Source organism: Homo sapiens, chromosome 2, assembly GCF_000001405.40.
Source record: "Homo sapiens chromosome 2, GRCh38.p14 Primary Assembly".
Taxonomy (NCBI): domain Eukaryota; kingdom Metazoa; phylum Chordata; class Mammalia; order Primates; family Hominidae; genus Homo; species Homo sapiens.
The window spans coordinates 166,480,273-166,499,935 of record NC_000002.12 but is presented as its reverse complement, the minus strand read 5'-3'; the positions used below and the strand labels follow the sequence as shown (position 1 = coordinate 166,499,935).

The following is a 19,663-nucleotide window of genomic DNA, read 5'->3' as shown; positions in this document are numbered from 1 at the left end:
TGTCTTTGGGGTTAAGTTCTGGCCAACAAGATATGAACTCAAGAACGTATTAATTAATGCTTCTGGTTTCCTCTATTCTATTTTTCCACTGCCTGGAATGTAAAAGTGTTGTTAATCCGTCTTCATTCATGCAAGTGGGGCTTGTCCACTAGAGGTAGAAAAATCAACAAGATTGAAAATATCCTAATTCCTTTGTATTTTGTAGCCCTGGACTGCTTATACCCAGAATGATATGTTTGAGAGAAATAAGCTTCTGTTTCATTTAAGCCACTGTTATTTTAGTTTTTTTTTTATTACAGCAGTCAATTCTGACTTTTGCGCATGGCATGCACATATTCAACTATTTCATGTATATGCACACAAGTAACAATGGGACTTCCAGATAAGTGACAGATTACAACTTTGTAATTATCTGTGTAATTGTATTTTATTTTTTCACTTGAAAATATACTATCCTGGGCTTCTGCCAATCCTGGCTGGGAATTACTTGAGAGAGAATTTTTGGACATGAAATTGGTAATGGAATGTATTATGTTCAGGAACATTTTGAACACAAACTCCAGATGTTCCTATGATTTTTGGAATCTGTTTTAGGGAACAAAAAGTATTAAATAATATAGGCATAAAATGTCCAACTTATATTATGAATGTGTTTTCTCAATGAGATGTTTGACATATTTTCTCTGCTGATTTCTAATGTTAAATTGACTTTTTTTTTCTAAGATTTGTATTGACTATGCCTGACTTTGGAACATATTTGAAAAGTGGAACTGGGACAATGTGTTTATGTATATATCTTAGGAAAATTGAAACCAGTTTAGAAATTTGTCAATGAATTATCAATAGTCTGGAAGGATTTTGTCTACTTTTTTGTAGAGAGGTCCAAGTGACTCTTATCATCTATGACCTGTTCTTTCATTTCTGAGAATCCCTAAGAAACAAGTTGTTTATTTTTCTCCTCTGTTATTTGCAAACAGCTCTTTACAGTTTTGTTCTGTTTTTTTCACGGATCAGGTACAGATTCTTATAGTTCTGGAACTTAGGACAGGGTTGAAGATTGTGGTAAGGTTTTCTAGAGTAATTCCAAGGAAAGCAAACACGTAAGTATTAATAGAATCATAAGTTGAATGTTGTACACATAAAAACAATGACAAGAAACTGATTCTGGGCAGTACTGTGTTTGTGCAGGCATGTAAGGATGATAAAAAACTGAAAGGAACAAATAATATGTATTTCTACATGTTCTCATGAGTGGGAGCTAAACAATGGGTACATATAGACACAGAGTGGAATAAGAGACATTGGAGCCTACAAAAGGTGGGAATGTGGGAAGGAGCGAGGGTTGAAAATTTTCTCAAGTGAGGGTTACACTAAAAGCCCAGACTTCAACACAATCCATATAAGACATCTGCACTTGTAGGCCCTAAATGTATCATTTTAAAAAAATAAATAAAAGATAATAGGTATTTGCCAGCAATATTGCCCATTGCACTTGAAAAGATAACCTGCATTTGCAAAAGAATATATGAAGTATTAAGAATCATAAAAGGCCAGGCATGTGGCTCACGCCTGTAATCCCAGCAGTTTGGGAGGCCGAGGAGGGTGGATCACTTGAGGTGAGGAGTTCAAGACCAGCCTGGTCAACATGGTGAAACCCCGTCTCTACTAAAAATACAAAAATTAGCCAGGCATGGTGGCACACGCCTGTAATCCCAGCTACTTGGGAGGCTGAGGCAGGAGAATTGCTTGAACCTGGGAGATGGAGGTTGCAGTGAGCTGAGATCGCACTACTGCAGTCCAGCCTCGGTGACAGAGCCAGACTCTGTCTCAAAAAATAAAATAAAATAAAATAAAAAATCATAAAATTCAAATGATTCAGAAGACAGGATTCTACAATATGATTCACATTATATTCATCTTTCAATAAATCTAGGCTTGCATTGTGACAGCGAACCAAAATGAGTCTCTATTTTATATTATCCTATAATAAGGCTGTGGGAAGTATCCATTCACACTCTTGACACTGATGTGTTTGAGGTAAGAATAAACAACCCTTATTTAAATGGGCTAAAAGGAAAGTAAAGTCTCCCAGGGCCTATCTGGTTCAAGTGCAGTGTGATAGAGGAGGTTTCTCTCTTGACAAGGCAGAACATCTGGGTCTAGATCTTCTACCTTCTGAATGCATTCCAAGAAGCACAGCTCCCTTTTTTGCATTTTATTTTATTTTACTTTATGGTAAATTAATAAATAATTGTATATTTATGGGGTACACTGTAATGCTTTGATTTGTATATACATTGTAAAAAATTGAATCAAGCTAATTAACATATCCATTGTCTCACCAGCTTATCCTTTTTTTGTAGTATGTTAAAAAATCTATTCTTTAAGCAATTTTCAGATATACAATGTTATTTTTAGCTGTAGTCACCATGCAATGCAACAGATCACTAAAATGTATTCATCCATTCTGAGACTTTGTACTCTTTGATCAACATTTTCTATTTCCTTCTCCCTCCCCTTCCCAACCTCTAGAGACGACATTTCTACTCTGTTTATATGAGATTGACTTTTTTAGTTCCACATATAAGTGAGATCATGTGGCATTTATCATTTGGTGCCTGGATTATTTAATTTAACGTAATGTACACCAGTACCACCTCGTCTTGAATGACAGAATTTCCTTCTTTGTAAAGGCTGTGTGGTACTTAATTTTGTATATATACCACATTTCTTTACCTAGTTATCCAGCAATAAACATTTAGGTTGCTTCCATATCTTGGCTACTGTGAATAATGCTGAATTAAAGTAGGACTGCAACTATCCTTTTGACATAGAAATTTAAATTCCTTTGGATATATACCCAGGAGTGGGATTGCTAGATCATATGGTAATTCTATTTTTAGTTTTTTGAGTTTACTATTTTCCAAAATGGCTGTACTAATTTACATTCCCACCAGCACTGTACAGGGTTCTCTTTTCTCCACATCCTCACCCACACTTGTTATCATTCATCTTTTTGATAATGTCAGAATGAGATATCACCTCACACATGTTAGAATGGCTATTATCAAAAATAGCTTAGGTTTGAGGCTGAGTGCTTTATTTCTCTGCATCCCTTGGTATTCCCCATAGACATGACTGGACTTTCTTATTACCATTTCTTTTCAGGCAGGCTCATGCTTTATATCAAGATTCTGAAACCAGAGGAAATTCTCACACCTGTATATTATAGAAGCTTTAAAGCATCCAAGCACCAGGTTTTAAGAATGAAACAGATCAACAAACAATTCTCATGTTCTTTAGATTGCATGTGATCTATGGTCTATTCCTATAGTGAATCTCCACATTTTCCCACAAAGCATAGAGTGGATTAGGTATGAATAATGCTCAATACTTTAGCAAATATACTGGGTACCTACTCTATTACATCCTCTCTTACAAGTGCTATTGTAGAGCAGGAAATAAATAAGTCTCAGCTGTCATGCAGAAAGCAGTCTAGTGGAACAAGACAGAAAATAAACATATAAGCAATAGCTATTTCACAGGCCAGATAAGCACTAAGAAGAAATACAAAGCAGTTGCTAACTACAATAGGATTCAAATTGTGAAAGTGGGAATTGATAGCAGAGATGATTTGGAGAAGAAGATAATCCATTAAGGATGAAATCAGAAGTTAGGCTGTTGGATGCTTCATCCAAATAGTTGTTGGTATTCAAATGGATGAGAAAGTTTTTAAGAAGGAAAGCAAGAGTTTGAATGGAGGGAAAGACTGTCAACCACAGAATAAATTCTTAATAAATAAGAGTGTCCATAAAGGCAGAACATAATGGCTACCATGTAGCCAGGTAGAAAAAGATGATGAAACTGGAGAACATATCTCCAAAGAAAGAGTTTTGGGTTTGTTTGAGTGTGTTTTGGGAGAGTTGTTTGCTTGTCTTTTTATACAGGGTTTTGTCAACTCTGGATGTAGAGACTTTTTTGAGAATTAAAACATCGAGTCCATCCACACTTCTGACACTGACATCTCTGAGGTCACAATAAACAGCTCCCATTTAAACAGACTGAAAGGAAGCTAATGCCCACAGTGGCGTATCGAGTTCAAGTGTAGTGTGATACAGCCAGCTTCTCTCCTGACACAGAAGAGTATGTGGGGTCTAGAGCTCCCACCTACTGAATACATACTTAGAAAGTAGAGTTTAGAAATATGCTTATAAAGTTCTTAAGGCAGAAATGTTGAAAACAGACCCTCCACTATGTAGTTCCTCCTGCTGAGAAACTCAGTGGGGGAGGAAGGATCCTCAGCTCATTATTAGGGGCACGATAATTGCCAAAACTTTTCAGATCCAACCTGGTAATATTACATAACCGTTATATAACCGTAGTGCCAAATATTTGTCCCAAAACAAATATTTGTTCCAAAACAAGAAAATGGCTAGCTAACTCAGAATATAAAACCAACACCATTAGTTTCCCATCTATTTGCCTCTCATTTATGTGATTGGTTTGTACAATATCTTGGGATCAACTGCCTGTTCATTACACATTATAAAAAGCAGTACTTCTTTTTATTTATTTTAAATATCACATGGAAACTTTGAAATATTTGATATTAAGTTCATTAAATTTATATTGTGTTTGAATGTACAGAAAGGTGTGTAGAATTTTACTGGGTGAAAAGGGATATATGTGTCAGACTGCTCTAAGGGAAGGTTTTATGCTCTAGAAAATTCATTTGCATCATCACCAGAGTGTGGAGAAGAGAAGCCTGCAGTCAGTCAATTGTCCATTATAAAGAAATCAAGTGAATGTTTGATGCTACAAAATAATTATTGCTAATTATAGATGTGATCAGGGTATTGAGTTAAAATCTTAAGTTCTTACCATTCAGAGACATATGCTGATATATTTTTGAAGTAAGTGATGTGATGTGTGCATAAAATAGGGTTACAAAATGAAGGTTCTATGGTGTGGCCTTTGGGAAGAAGGTGCAACCCCTCTGGCCTTCACTCCCAAACTACACTGTATTGCCGCAGTTTTCTAAAATAAACATAATTTTTCCTCTGTCCCTCGTGTTTCAAATCACTAGAGTGGGAAACTGATCCAGAGTAAAAGCCAGCTCCAGCTGACTCTTGACTCTCCTAAAAACAGCTACACACATACTCACACAACAACAGGATTACAAACTCTTAATTACAGCAATGTCCAGATTTGAATGCTGCAGGCTGACAATTGCCCCTCTAAGTTCTGCTGGGGCACCTAGGCAAGGGGAGAGAGAATACAACTGGAGGTTAAAGAACCAGAGTTTTCTGTCTTCCTCTCCTCTCCCTCATTTTCACTCTCCCTTCCCCCTCAGCTGCACCGCGCTGCTCCTTTTCCTCTCCTCCTTGGATGTTCCCTAGCCCCTTCATTCCTTCACGCTCTGCAGGCCCTCTCCCCTCTACCCCTCCTCATCAGCCCCCCGCTCCTCTTCCTCCCTCCCTTCCCGGCAGCTGCTGGAGGAGACGCCACAGCTGCTGCTGTTACTGCATCTGCAGCAGGTCTCTGTCAATATCACCCGCCCACGCCCGATCTGGATGCTGAAGTCGCTCACTGGCCTGGAGATTAGGGCGGGGGAGAGAGTGGAGTGGCTGGGAGAGGGGAGGGAGGAGTGGAAAGGAGACAAAAACAGCTTCCAAGCAGCGGGCGCGGCTCCACTGGACATCTGGGTAGGAGGGGTCTCTGGGTCAGTGGCTGGAGAGTCGCCCCAGTGAGTCGGTGTCTAACTGGCCATTTAGTGGGGCCCATTTACTGCAGAGCCACAGCTGGTGAGGACAGACGCCAGCCTAACAGCAGCTTCTGTACAACTAGAGCTCAGAAAACCCGAGAGATCCGTGGAGAAAGAGAAGCCCAGGAGGAGGAAAGGGCTCCAAGGAGCCCTGCTCCTGAAGGGTCCCTCAGGCACTGGTGGAGACCTGTCGCTTCGTAGCAAGTAAGTGCCTTTTTCTTGCTGCTGTGTCCAGTCCCAGAATGGTGATAGCCGCTATCCGCTGCCAGCCTTTCCCATCCACTCCCACCTGCCCCATCCCATACACACCCTTAGGGTCCCCAGCAGGAGGACAGAGATTTGAAATTGTGGACGTGCATTAGGAGAGTTACTTCAAGAGTATACTTCAAGAGCAGCCGTGGTCTGTGGGTGTTTGCATGGCATGTGCCGTCAGTTTTCTAATTCCATCAGGTAAGCTTCTGAAACCAACATTCTCTGTTAGTGTAAAATTCTAGAAACCCTATATGACAATGACTTACATTACATGGTACAATGATAGTATAAAATGGAGGAAAGGTTATGCAGATTGTTGTACACTTCTTCTAAGAATCCTATCTCTTATTCTAAATAACAGAGATTTCAAGATTGATTTTCCCAAAGGAATAGATAGTATAAAAGTAGAGGCATTGATGTGATTGGCAGTGGTGTGCTCAGTTTAGTCAGTTGGGCATTTTGGTATTGACTAGATCAACAGAGATTGTTGTTGTTGTTTTTGCATTGTTTTGCTCTATAAAATGCATCTCTTCTGGAGGTTTTCTTTTAGAAGTGATAGTGTGACTGGTTGTGTTAGCTTCAAAACTTAGAACATTGGTCAAAACAAGACAAATGATGAGTGCATGTGGAATGACACACCGATGGGCCCCTTTCATTAACGAAAATGATGGGTTCCAGTTTGGATATTGGACTGAAAAATATCTTGAAATGGGAAAGAGTTTGGGTGGTGCTTCTTGTGGATACTTTACCCCACTGCTGTTCATTCAGGAGAGCAATTTATGGCAAAGTAGAAGGAAAGTGGGCCCTGTAATAAACAGAATCCTGGGCACCATACCTGCTATGACTAGCCTTAATTAAAGATTCTATAATCCAGCTGCTGTTTTTACAAGTAAGACCTATAAGGAGTAATTTGCTGAGGCTACCTGGCAAATCAGTAATTGAGCGGGAAGTCCAATGAACAAGTCTTTGGGATTTAGAACTACAAAACTTGATTTCAATTTTTGTACAAATTAAGCCAATTATTTAACTTGAGTAAGCTTTATTTTCTTTATTTATAAATGACACTCCAAAAAGTCCTGACAAAAACTAATTGACAGAGATGATATAAAGGGTTTATGAAAGTACCATATGTGTAACTGTTGATTACATAAGGGATTATTCTGTGTTTTTATCTACTTCACTATTCTGATTTTCCTTCTAAGTCTGATTCAATATAAGCATACAGAGGGCTTTGACATGCATCTCTAGAATGCACTAGAGGAAGTGAAATTCAAATCCTTTTCTTGCCACCTGTACAGTTTAAAGCATATTCTAATCTGAAAGCCTTTATCCTCAAAAAAGTGAAAAGTGTGTGCTTTGGCTAGCTTTGCATATTTAAACCTTGTAATATTCTCCAAATATGCTTTACCCTCTTTCTGTTTTTAGTTTTAAAATTGATTTTAGGTCTGTAGTCCTGTTTCCTGGGGATGAAGCCATCACGTATATTGGATATTGCTGAATGTATTTGGCCCGTTACTTAACATAGGAGAAATCAAAATTTAGGCATAAATACTCTAATCTTGACTGCAAAGATTCATTAAAATCTTGCACCTGGGGGATAGGTACTGTGAGTCCCTTCTTTCCCATGGATATGTTTAAAGTAATAGAAGAAAGAACTCAATTTGTACATGGGCTCAGGAAAAGGGGTCATCAGATCCCAGATGGCACACGACCGTTGGACCTGCTGCTGCATATCAGTCTCTACTGGAGTACTGGAGGCAGAGCCAAGCACTTCAAAACTGGGCATTCTGTCTCCGTAGCCTCGTGTGGTAGATGGTTTGGTAGCGGATATACACTCTCACTGATTTTCCCAAAGTAGGATAAATACCTGTCCAAAGCATACTAGAAATAAAAATAACAGTATTTTCCCCAATCCCTTACTCAGGGATTGGGAAATCTGCACTCCAGCCCTAGATCTCATTGGGTTGAGATACGTGTCACAACTGGGGTATTCAGAGATTGACTCACCATCTACCTACTGCCTTAGACTCCCTCCTGAAAGCTTATGGTGGAGGCATTGGGTAAAAGGGACATTCTTGATTTCTGGGAGTCTGATCCCATTATTTCCACTAACCATTTTCAGTATTTGTCAGTGTGAGAAGAACATCTATAACCTCTGCCCACCCCCACCCCCACTCCAGATATCAGCAATGCACAGTCACCCATTATCACATGAGAAAATCTTGTACAAACAGATGTCACTTTTCTTTTCCTGCGTTGGTTCCTTCTCTTCTGTTAGTGAGGACTAACCAACCAGACAAGTGAGGTCTCATTGCAGCAACATTGAAAGAAGGAGCCTTTGAAGTTAAAGATAAGATTTCATCTGAGGGCTTCAGAGGTTATTTTTGAGTTGGTGCATATCTCTTGACCCAGCTAAGATTATTATTTTACATTCATTTGTTCAATTATTGTTTATTACAAATGAGGCGCCATCTTCTTATATTCCATCCTGAAATTCCTAGCAAACAGATATCCCTGTTGTCTCTGCAGTATTTATAATTGGATTGACTCAGCCTGGTGCTGGACAAGGATAACCAGCTCAATGGACGGCTCTGATGATGGTGTGGGTCAGGTGCCACACTGACTGCCTAGACATCAAAGAGCTTGATAGAAATGCAGAAGCTGGGGCCCCACTCATGGAAATTATGATTAGAAAGGTCTGATATTATGATAGGGCATTTGGTGTTAAACTAGAACAGGAGGTGATGCTGATTTGGGGGCCATAGACCCTAGGTGAATATATTGTGCTGAGTAGAGTAGTCTGTCTTTCCTATTTTAAATGCTAAGGTGAGGCTTCCAGTCCACCAGCTGCTCACTCTCTGAGTTCTCCCAGAGGCGACATGGTCTAAGCACTTGATTACAGGCTCTTGCCCATATCTACTCTCTTTCTCTGGCCCTGGGGCTCCATGTTGGACATTTTTTGCCCAACTCAGAGTGAGACAAAAACTAAATCATGCTCACCCTAAGATGTTTCAAGGCACCTTTCTAGTTTCTCTCTAATTTGAGAAGGGGATGGACATCTATATGTTTGGTTTCACATTTGAAAAGCTAAAGGAGCTTTTGGGAGAGTTGCAGGGAGGGCAGGTTGGAATCCTGGAAAAACAGACAGACATTTTCAGAATTGTCAGAAGCAGAGGTAAATAGCCAGTTCTAAGAAGCCTCCAGGGTTTCAGTAAATGTGCCAGTTCTAGATTTTTTTAATTCAGAAAATGCCTGGGTCAAAAATTTTAAGAATTATAATCCAAATAAAATAGCAGTGCAAATGACAGCCTCCTTTTTTAAAAGTCCGAATAGCGTTCCATTGTGTATATATACCACATTTTCTTTATCTATTCATATGTTGATGGATACTTAGGTTTCTTCCATATCTTGGCTCTTGTAAATAATACTGCAGGAAACATGGGAGAGCAGATATCTCTTTGACAAACTAATTTCAGCTCTTTTGAATAGACATCATTTGTGACAACATGAGTGAACCTGGAAGACATTATGCCAAGTGAAATATTCCAGGCATTGAAAGACAAATACTGCATGATCTCATAGAAATGTGAAATCTAAGAAAGACAAATTTTTGGAGGTAGAGAGTAGAATGGTACTTTCCAGAGGCTGGGGATGAGGGGGTGAATGGGGAAAGGAAAGATGTTGGTCAAAGTGTGCAAAATTTCAGTTAGAGAGGAGGCATAAGTATAAGTGTTCTATTGCACATCATGATGGTGATAGTTAAATAATAATGTGTTGTATATTTCAAAATGCTAAAGGAATAGATTTTAAATGTTTCCACTACAAAGAAATAAGTCTGTGAGATAATGGATATATTAATTAGCTTGATATAATCATTCCACAATGTTTGTGTATACGTACATATATATATTTTATATATATAAAATAACATCAACTTGTATCCCCTAAATATATATAATTACTATTTATCAATTAGAGACAAAATATTTTTTAAAATGGCAGTGCATATTTATGCTTTTGAGAAAGTTGCTTACTTACCACTTTCTTTTGCAAGATAACATATTCTAGGAATTTGTTGGCTGAAATTGTCAGAGTGAGAAAGTTGAGTCCAGAATTAAGTGGACGTATTGAAGAATAGAACCTGAAGCCAAACTGGACTGACCTGGAAGCAGAACATAGCTGCAGTCAGAATCCAAGGAGAAAGTAGCAAAAGTCAATTAAGCAGCCTAGATAAACTGTTTGCCACAGACAGGTAAAAAAGTAGGCATCAGATCATCAACGCCAAATTGGAAGTAACCAACCCAAGTGAAAAAATAATCCAAAAGCAAAATCCAAGTGGGTTGAAGTCAAGAGGTATTTAAAGAACGTTTATTCACACAGATGGTTGCAAAATTTCAAGTGGATTGATGTCATTTTAGTCAAGCTGTCCTTTATTCCTCAAACTTCAGTGTGCAAATTTTCCATATCTGGGCTTTGGTAATACATACACATGGTGCGTTATGTTCAAGTAATATAGAAATATTAACTGGAAAGCAACAGAATCCTCTGACACCTTTTTGGACTCTTTCCATAGATGTAACACTTCACTCATGTCCAGAGGGGAAAACATTATGCACATGCTAACGTATACAACTTTATGTATATAATCATTATACAACATTTTATTCAAAGGTGAATGATGCAAGTTGTTCTCAACTTTACATTTTCACTTAGTAACTGATTTGGTGAAACTTTCCGTATGAGCACAGACATATCCATCTCATTCCTTTTTGTAACTAACTAGGTATTCCATGATAGCAATATACTAGAATTTTTGTTATTAGTCCCTTAGGGTAGACATTTTATTTCTACTCTTTGGAATTAAAAGTATTATGTTATGATAAACATCCTTGCAAATATGACTTCTCAAACTTCAGCAATAATTTCTATAAAGCTTAATTGCTGGGCCAAAGAGTACATGAAACTTTATTTAAGAGACTGTTGGTCGGGCGCAGTGGCTCACACCTGTAGTCTCAGCACTTTGGGAGGCTGAGGTGGGCAGATCACCTGAGGTCAGGAATTTGAAACCAGCCTGGCCAACATGGTGAAACCCCAGCTCTACTAACAATACAAAAATTAGCCAGGTGTAGTAGCATGCACCTGTAATCCTAGCTACTTGGGAGGCTGAAGCAGGAGAATCCCTTGACTCAGGGAGGCGTAGGTTGCAGTGAGCCAAGGTTACACCGCTGCTCTCCAGCCTGGGCAACAGAGTGAGACTCCGTCTCAAAAAAAAATAAAAAAAAAAAAAGAAACTGTTGACAAGTAGCTTTTTTAAAAAACTGCACTAAGTTATATTCTCACCTGCACTGTGTGTGGGTAGCCTTTGCCTCCATATCCCAGCCTGTAAATGGTCATATTCATTGAGATGAATCTCAATTATGTCTCTACAGAGTTAGACTATTAAAATTATTGATTTAGGCAACTTTATGTCTATCCTTTAGAATTTCGTTAGCTTCAGTCATCTTCCTCATAGGTTTCTGCTTCCTAGAAGTCAATGATAAAATTTTCATAGCCTTCCATAAAAATTAAAAAAAGCAATGCATTTAATATCATTTGGGTTGTAAACCCTGGAGGGGAAAGCATTCTAGTCAGAAAGCTCTAAGGGAAAAGGCCCTGCATTAGAGAATTTAGCTGTAAGTCATTATGGAATGTGAGAAAGATGAAATATAAGCCATGATATATCTATTAAGTGCAGTCAAGTTGCCCAAACCAATAAAAATGTCAATATAAGTTGGTCACTAAATTGCTAAATTGATCAGCAGGTATGAGTCCTACATTCTCAACAATACAGATTATGTACAATGGTCACATTAACTCTGTATCTTTGCTTATGCCGATGGTACCTTCTGATCCCAAGTTAACTTAGTCTTATTATCATCACTGCTTTGTTTTTACACCTATCTAAATGTCATTGGTGCAATAGACATGTTACGTTGTCCATGTCTGATGTACAGCATAATTGTTTCAAAATAGCTTGAAAACAACTAAGTGAGAAGTCATTTTATCCTTATTTCCTGCTGCACACGGAATGAAATTGGCATTTGCAATATTATCCTCAGTCTATTGATCCACTGTCCTTACTTTTTTGTTTCATTTTTCTTAATTTATATTATCTTGCTCTATGGTCTACATTCTTGAATGTGAACCTCAATCTTTTTGGAATGCATTAGGAATATATATTTAATATAGAATAGAACATTCGACAATTCTATTTGGCAAAGCTAATCTAACATTTGTTTTGTCTCCCCTAGGATCAACTCCAGTTTCTCAGAAAGCACAGAGATTGATTCTTTAGGTGCTGTATTTTCAATTCCCTAAGATGGGAATAAATGGAAATGAAGAGGCTGTGACTGGCCTGGGCAGTCATCTCCTACAGGTGGAGAATCTCTCTCCACAGCTTGAGTGCATTGCTGGCAGGCTGTGCTCTAGAAATAAAACTGAGGGACAGGGGAAACAATTGGGAATTGTGAGTAGGGAAGAAGAAAAATACTGACTTCTGGCATTCCTTTTCTTCCCCATCCTTCATTATCTAAGAAAATGCAGCTGCAGTTGCTGTTTCAAAATGCTGTTGATGCAGCCTCTTGCATGGGAACTGGGCTCTCTAGAGACAGCATTCGCTCACTGATTGAGTGGCCATGTAATTTATCATCCAACTCAGGATGTTTCTGAAAAGGAAAAAGGATGTAATTAATAGTTAATCCTCAACAACAGGCATAAACCCAAACTGCCTCCAAGTAACCTAGAACTTTAGGAAACATTACTTAAACATGAGATTGGATGGGTTGGAAAGGAGAGGACAGAGTGGAAGAAAAAAGAAAGTTGTTATCCTGGAGGTGGGTGGGAGCCACATGCAAAAGTGAATGTCCCAGTTGTGTTTGTCTGATTTCAAGCTTTAGAACTGTTTTGCAACAGGTCCTCCACCATGTGAATGCCAACATGGCCAGGTCATTAGAGCTGAGGGAAAACTAGTGCCCAAAGATATGAAAAGAGTGTGGATCTTCTGGAGAAGTGCTGTTGTTCAACAGGTATTTGCCTCAGCAACTCCTGTATATGCTCTATCTCTCATACTCAGGCTATCAGATGAGAAAAAACAAACAAGAAAATGTAATGATGTGTCTGCTTGCTTTATAAAGTTGGTTGGGTGAAGCTTAGCTATCAGCCAAGGCATCTTTCTGCCTAGCAGTCTGCATCAGATTCATCTCAAAGGCTGCAGCACAAGCTATTCTGAAATAGTCTGTCTGGATTGGGCCACTGGCTCCTAGATTTTCAGTATTAGCCCCAGGAGATTTCTGATATGCACTCCAGAGCTTGTATGATCGAAATCACCTGTACCAAGATTTTCTTTATCTATAGCTCTCAGTACCAGCGTGTTAACCAGAGGTCATCCTCTCATCTTCTCTGTACTCGTAGAAGCTCCAGGACTTGGGAACTGCAGATTTGACACTGTTATATCTGGTCAACCTTCCAGGGTCTGGTACATTGTTGAAGGTTTTGTGTCTATCTGAATCTAACATGGAGCCAGACTTGGTGCTAGGGGTTTATGAGTGACCTTATATGACACTGGTTCAGAACTCTTCTGTCTATTCACTGATTTAGGGTATCATTTGTGGATCTATGAGCTTAGTTCCACTGCTGAGGAGAAGCTGGCAACAATGAAGGGTCAAGGAAATCTACAGATTAAGTCTAACCACAGATTAAGAGGATACTCAAGGAGGTCAGCTAGTTCTGAGAGGTCCCGAAGAGTCCCAGGGATGTCCTAATTCTGGAACTTTTTAAACAGAGGTTGAGAGATCAGGTCTTGCATCTTAGGGGAACAATTAGTATCAAAGACCTCAGGATGAAGGGCAAGTTATAATCTGGTTGCATCATACAGCCTCCTTTGTATTCCGCTGAGAAGCAGCACAGGCTACTTTTCTTCACTTGTTGAATCCTAATGTGGCCACTAGCCAGGAATTTTTGGTCAAGGATTTAACAGACTGGATCCACTAGAAATAGAATTCCAGGACAATCCTGGCTCCTTTACAACTTGCTCTTTTTGATGAGATAACAAAGGATAATTTAGAATTCTAGAGGCTTATTTTGCAAAGCAGTGGAAGTTTCGAGAACATCTGGAGAAACTGGGAACATTGAGTTCTTTAGAATGTGGGGCTCGACCACTTTCCCAGAGTTACTGGTAGGGAATCAAAGATGTTCGTTGTATTGGAAGCTTCAAAGCAGGAACATTTCAGGCAGAACCAGCTTTACTTTTTATTCCTAGAAACCTCCCTTTCTATTGCCTTTATCACTGTCATAGTCACATTTCTCAGTGAGGCAGGAGACCCTCAAAAAGATCTTATTCCCAGTGATTCGTGTCCTTTTCTAGTGTTTCAACTGCCATTAAGCCTTCCTTATGCTCATTGATCTTAGTATATTTGCAATCAGATGTGACAGAGTGATTTGCTTTGGTTATCTGGCACTGTTTGTGGACTTCTAATCCTATCGTGTCTGTTGACTCTGTTGACTCTCATTCTGAAGCTTAATGTCTTAGACTGTTCCTTCCCTCAACAAGAGAGATATTAGTTGTCCCATATTATTGGAAAATTTAACACATAATCTGTAGAACCAGATCCACCAGTGTTTGAGATGATTTTAATTCCAATCTCTGTTCCTCTTGAAACTAATCATTTTGAGAGATTAACAAGGTAAGATTAGCTTGCTGTCTTCTAGCACTTTATATAAATTGGATCATATAGTTTGTAATCTTTCATGTCAGACTTCTTTCACTCAGCACAATGTTTTTGTCACTCAGTCATTGTTATGTGTATTAGTAGTTCATTGATTATTTTGCTAATTGTATTCTATTGGATAAATAGACTTCCATTTTTATTTTTATAAATCTATTCTCATTTTGATGGATTCTTCCCAGTTTTGGGTACTTATGCTTTAAAAGATATATTCCCATATATTTATTACTTTTCATCCTCTTCATTCCTTCTTAAACATAGACATGTCCATCTGAGATATGTGAAAATATATTTATTTTGTCTTCATTCTTGAAGAGTATTTTTGCTGTATGTAGAATTCTAGTCTTAAATTTCTTTTCCCTTTGACACCTTTAAGATACTGTTATACTGTCTTCTGGTTTCCTTTTTATTTTCTGCTAAGAAGGCAGTGATCATGCTTAATCATTATTTCCTAATTTATAATGTGTCATTTTTTCCAAATTGTTTTCAAGATTTGACTGTGATATACCTTAATAGTATTTGAGCCATGTGACTTAAAACATGTATTAGTGATGACATATAAAATCTTTAGCCTTCAAGATTAGATTTTTAAATCATAAATCATAATAGGTAGGTGCTTTTCAATATGCTCCCCTTGTAATCATTCCATAAAGAATTTCACACATTTTGCAAATACACATAATCCTTTTATTTCTCTGAGTTTCAGCTATTTATATATTTATATAACCATATACTATATATACATTTATATACACACTCATAGGTACATAAATATATCTATTTATATTTGCATATAAAACATGTACACATACATACAGTTTAATTATGTATATTTACCTCCAGATTTATATTTCCAGTCTCTGAATTGTTCTTTTAGTTGTTTCAGATGTGCCTCAAACCCACCAAAAAATAAAAGACATCTTTCCCTAATTTCTAAGCTGATGCTTTCCCCATAGTCCATATTCTTTATATGAATGACAGTCAGTCATACAAGCCAGATTTTATAGCCTTCACTGTGAGAACCCATTATCTATGTACAAAGTTAGAAACAAGCTATTAGTGTTAAAAAAATTATTAAGATATCAAGAGACACATTATTTCCCAGTTAACACTTGTTTCTATTTTTAAATCATTCTATATGTATTTAACCTTAAAATTCAATATAGTTACAGAATAACAAAAAATAATAGTAGTTCCTTTTAAGGATGTACTATAATCTTTTTTAGTGGCTGCACCTGAGATATATGTTGACTTCTTCTCTTAGGTATAAAAATTACACTACTGTGAACAGATTTGAGTACCTAAATTGGTTTGACATTTGTACCCAAGAGTCAAGTCTCTGTTGCTTGAATTGCTAGGATAAAGTGTAAACGTTTTTATTTATAAACAGTACCAGCTTTCCTCTTAGAATAATTATACTGTTTTATATGATCAAAAAAGTTTGAGTGTTTTTTCATACCCTAACCAGCACTTTCCTTCATTAAACTAAGATTTCTATTTTAAATTATTAAAGATAAATTTATTTATTATTGATTTTATAAGTTTTGTTGTTTTAAATTTAAATTTTATTTTGTATTTAAATAGTTGAGCCATCTAGAATTTATCTTAATGCAAGTAGTGCATGGAGCCAGGGATAATGAGAACTGCCCACTTCCAAACCTTCTTATAGGTGTTCCACAAACAATGCAGTACAACAAGAAAAACAAATACAACATAATATGTACACAAAACTACGCAAATAAATATAACAAACATACACAAACCCCACACTATCCGAGTAACTAGAAGGCAGGAAGATATGTGAGAAAGTAAAATAATTTAATTAGAAACGTCTAGTCCACTTCTTCAAAAATGGTACTTGGTAAGCATGGCCATAATCATAATTGCCATAAGGATTAAAATAAATTTTGGCTCATACTCAAATTTGAAATTCGTTTCAAGGAGAAATTTTTTTTCTATAAAAATTCACCCCATTTCCATATACTTCTGCTGCTCCTGCAAATTTCAACTGACATTCAACAGAAATGGATTCCACTTCAGTCAACAATATAAAATATTGGTACAATGAATTTGTTAGTGTCCAAATCTGGACTTGATACAATTGACTTTGATAGAATTATTGCCAAAAGCTTACTTTAGCTATTCAATTTTTCAGAAAGAAGTCTAATGGATGGATTAACTATTAATCTTTCTATATTTTTTCGGACTTTAGTGCTGTATTAAGATGGCTCACCAGAAAGCGTAGTGCGTGGACCATATTACATAAATTCCCCACAGAAATGATTTTGCTGAATTATGATTTAATGATTAATAATTTAACAGTCTGCACTCAACCATCTAGAAGTCAGATGCATGCCACTTCTATTTGATAAGTGCTTGCATTTTTTTTTTTTTGCAGTATCGCAGAAGGCAATGCCTGCTGTCTATTCATTCATTCATTCATCTAGTCAACAACCCAGGGTAGTTTGATTCAACATCAAAATTATCACTAAAATAATCTTCTGGGATAAGTGACTGGGTTGGATGACAGAATCAGTACTGATGAAACCAGTACTGATGAAACCAGTGCTGTGGTCCAGGATTTCTTTGTGGTTTGATTTAATCTTTAAAACCTTGTGAGATATATGAGGGATTCCAAATTTTATATATGAGGAAAGGTCAGGTGATGTTACTGAGGTCTCATAGCTGGGGGGTGGCAAAATGAAGAGTCCAAGATTATTTTCTTATGGAGTAGTAAAAGAAAAAGAAAAGGGATATTATACTAGGACTATGCAATAGGAAGACAGGCTAGCAAATTGGGTCTTGCAGTTTTGATGGAAGGTGTTTAAACCATTTTCATTGATGGCAGCATCCATGCAAGAAGTTTATAACCTCTTTTTTTGTATTCTTTTAAGGTTAATATTTTTAACTTAGTTTAGTAATACTTTTGGCAATCAGAATGGATCCCTAAAAATATCAAAAATATACTGATTTTGTTAATTCAATGCTGCATAGTTTTAGTTAGCTAATATTTCAGTCAGACTTTTATATCATGTGAAATTGTGCAACAAATTCAACCAATGATCTTAACCTTAGAAATGTTCCAAAATTGTAAGATGTTGAAATTAACAACCAATATTCGGATCATCCCACTGCCTGTAAAGGAGTATGTGCGTCCACATTGGTAGTTAAGGGGAAGGTCTGATGTCCAAACCAACCCATTTCATTTTTGACAGCTATTAGAAAGATCTTTACTTTCTCAAGCCAAATCTCTTCTGGCTTCACCTCATTGATTCTAGTTCATCCTTTTTGAACAACATGGAAGTCTAATTTCTCTTCCACATTAGAACCATTCGGATACTTGGAAATAGTAAGATTGTACTTGAGTTTTTTCCACCTCAACTATACATTCTCCATTCTTTTAGCTTGTCTGTAAATTGTTTTATTTTACTTAATCAACCTTCTGGTTCCATTTGAAGACCCTTCAGTTTGTTGACATGCCTTTCAGGTGTGGTGTTCTTGGATTACAGCACAGTAGAGACGGACTGCCTCCTGCATCTTCTATCAACACAGATACAGGTTATATTAGTGTTCTTGGCAGACACAAATTAGTATTGATTTGTATTGCAGTTACTATTAAGTAAAATCCCTTGACAATTTTCTCTGTTTCAAAAACACATCTCTTCTCTACTGTACTTGTGCCGATGGGTATTTTAGTCCAAATTTTGAAGTTTTACAAGTATTTCTATTATATTTTTTTGTAGTAAATTTGACTCACCATTCTAATACAGCAAATTTTATCACAGTTAAAAATTTATATTTATTTTCCATGTATTATGTGCCAATCACTGTACTAGGTATTTTTACTCATATTATTTTGATTTATTCTTATTTAACTGGAAGAGGAATCCCAATTTTATGACTGAGAAAATATGTTCAGGGATATTAAATAATTTGACTGAGGTTTCTTAGAACATTAGTCACAGAGTTCAGGATTTGACTGTAGGTCTAAGTTCAAAGATCATGATTTTATTTGTTTCTACTAGGTTGTTTCTCTATCACAACCTAAATTGTTGATATGTTGAATAAGTCATATCGAATATAGATAACTTGGATATGTCGTATCCATTGGCCACCAGCCTTTAGACAAAAACCTGGAGTCCTTATAGGCCTATCTTATTTTAATGCTATCTAGCACGTATTTTTTCTTCTTGTGAGACATTTTACAAATGACTTACTAACGTTCAAATACATATATTTTACTTCATTTTTCCTTATTAAATAGTCAAGGCTTATGGTGAGAAAGTAGAGCATGAATAGGATTGGTTCACGTAAAAAGAAAAAAGTCCCTGAGCAACCAGTTACTGTCACAAAGCCCATGAATTTTTTCTTCGAAGAAGTTAAACAATCTTTAGTCCTTCACCCAGAAAATTTCGATATTCTCTTTCCACATAGAAGGAGGAGATTCAAAATACCAAGACAATGTCAAGTCACAGTTGATTGCTAAGGCAGGAAACAAAAGTCTAAAAGTATAACAGGATCATTCAGCAGTTGCCTTTGGGAGCATCACTATATTTTATCATAATATAGTAAGGAATGTTTATAAAGAGAATCAATAAGTTATTTATAAATTATTTAATATATATTCAAGGATCTCTGTGTAAAAATATTTTGAAAGGCTGTTTTTTTTTTGTTTTTTTGTTTTTTTGTTTTTTTTTTTTGAGACGGAGTCTCGCTCTTTCACCCAGGCTGGAGTGCAGTGGTGCGATCTCGGCTCACTGCAAGCTCCGCCTCCCGGGCTCATGCCATTCTCCTGCCTCAGCCTCTCGAGTAGCTGGGACTACAGGCGCCCGCCACCACGCCAGGCTAATGTTTTTGTATTTTTAGCAGAGACGGGGTTTCACCG

At 37.2% G+C, this 19,663-nt stretch overlaps 1 protein-coding gene across 9 annotated transcripts in view; it reads left to right on the top strand.

The window, feature by feature from the left end:
• The window catches only part of SCN7A (sodium voltage-gated channel alpha subunit 7), a 90,677-nt gene continuing 76,700 nt past the window's right edge, over positions 5,687-19,663 (top strand). The window contains exons 1-4 of one of the 9 annotated variants that reach the window (XM_047445397.1): positions 5,687-5,968; positions 6,080-6,214; positions 12,307-12,350; positions 12,968-13,080. The gene's annotated coding sequence lies outside the window, so the exon portion shown is untranslated. Of the gene's footprint in view, positions 5,969-6,079; positions 6,215-12,306; positions 12,432-12,964; positions 13,081-18,265; positions 18,337-19,663 lie in introns of those variants that run through there. The other 8 variants (XM_047445396.1, XM_011511615.3, XM_017004667.2 and 5 more) reach the window with 8 other exon arrangements.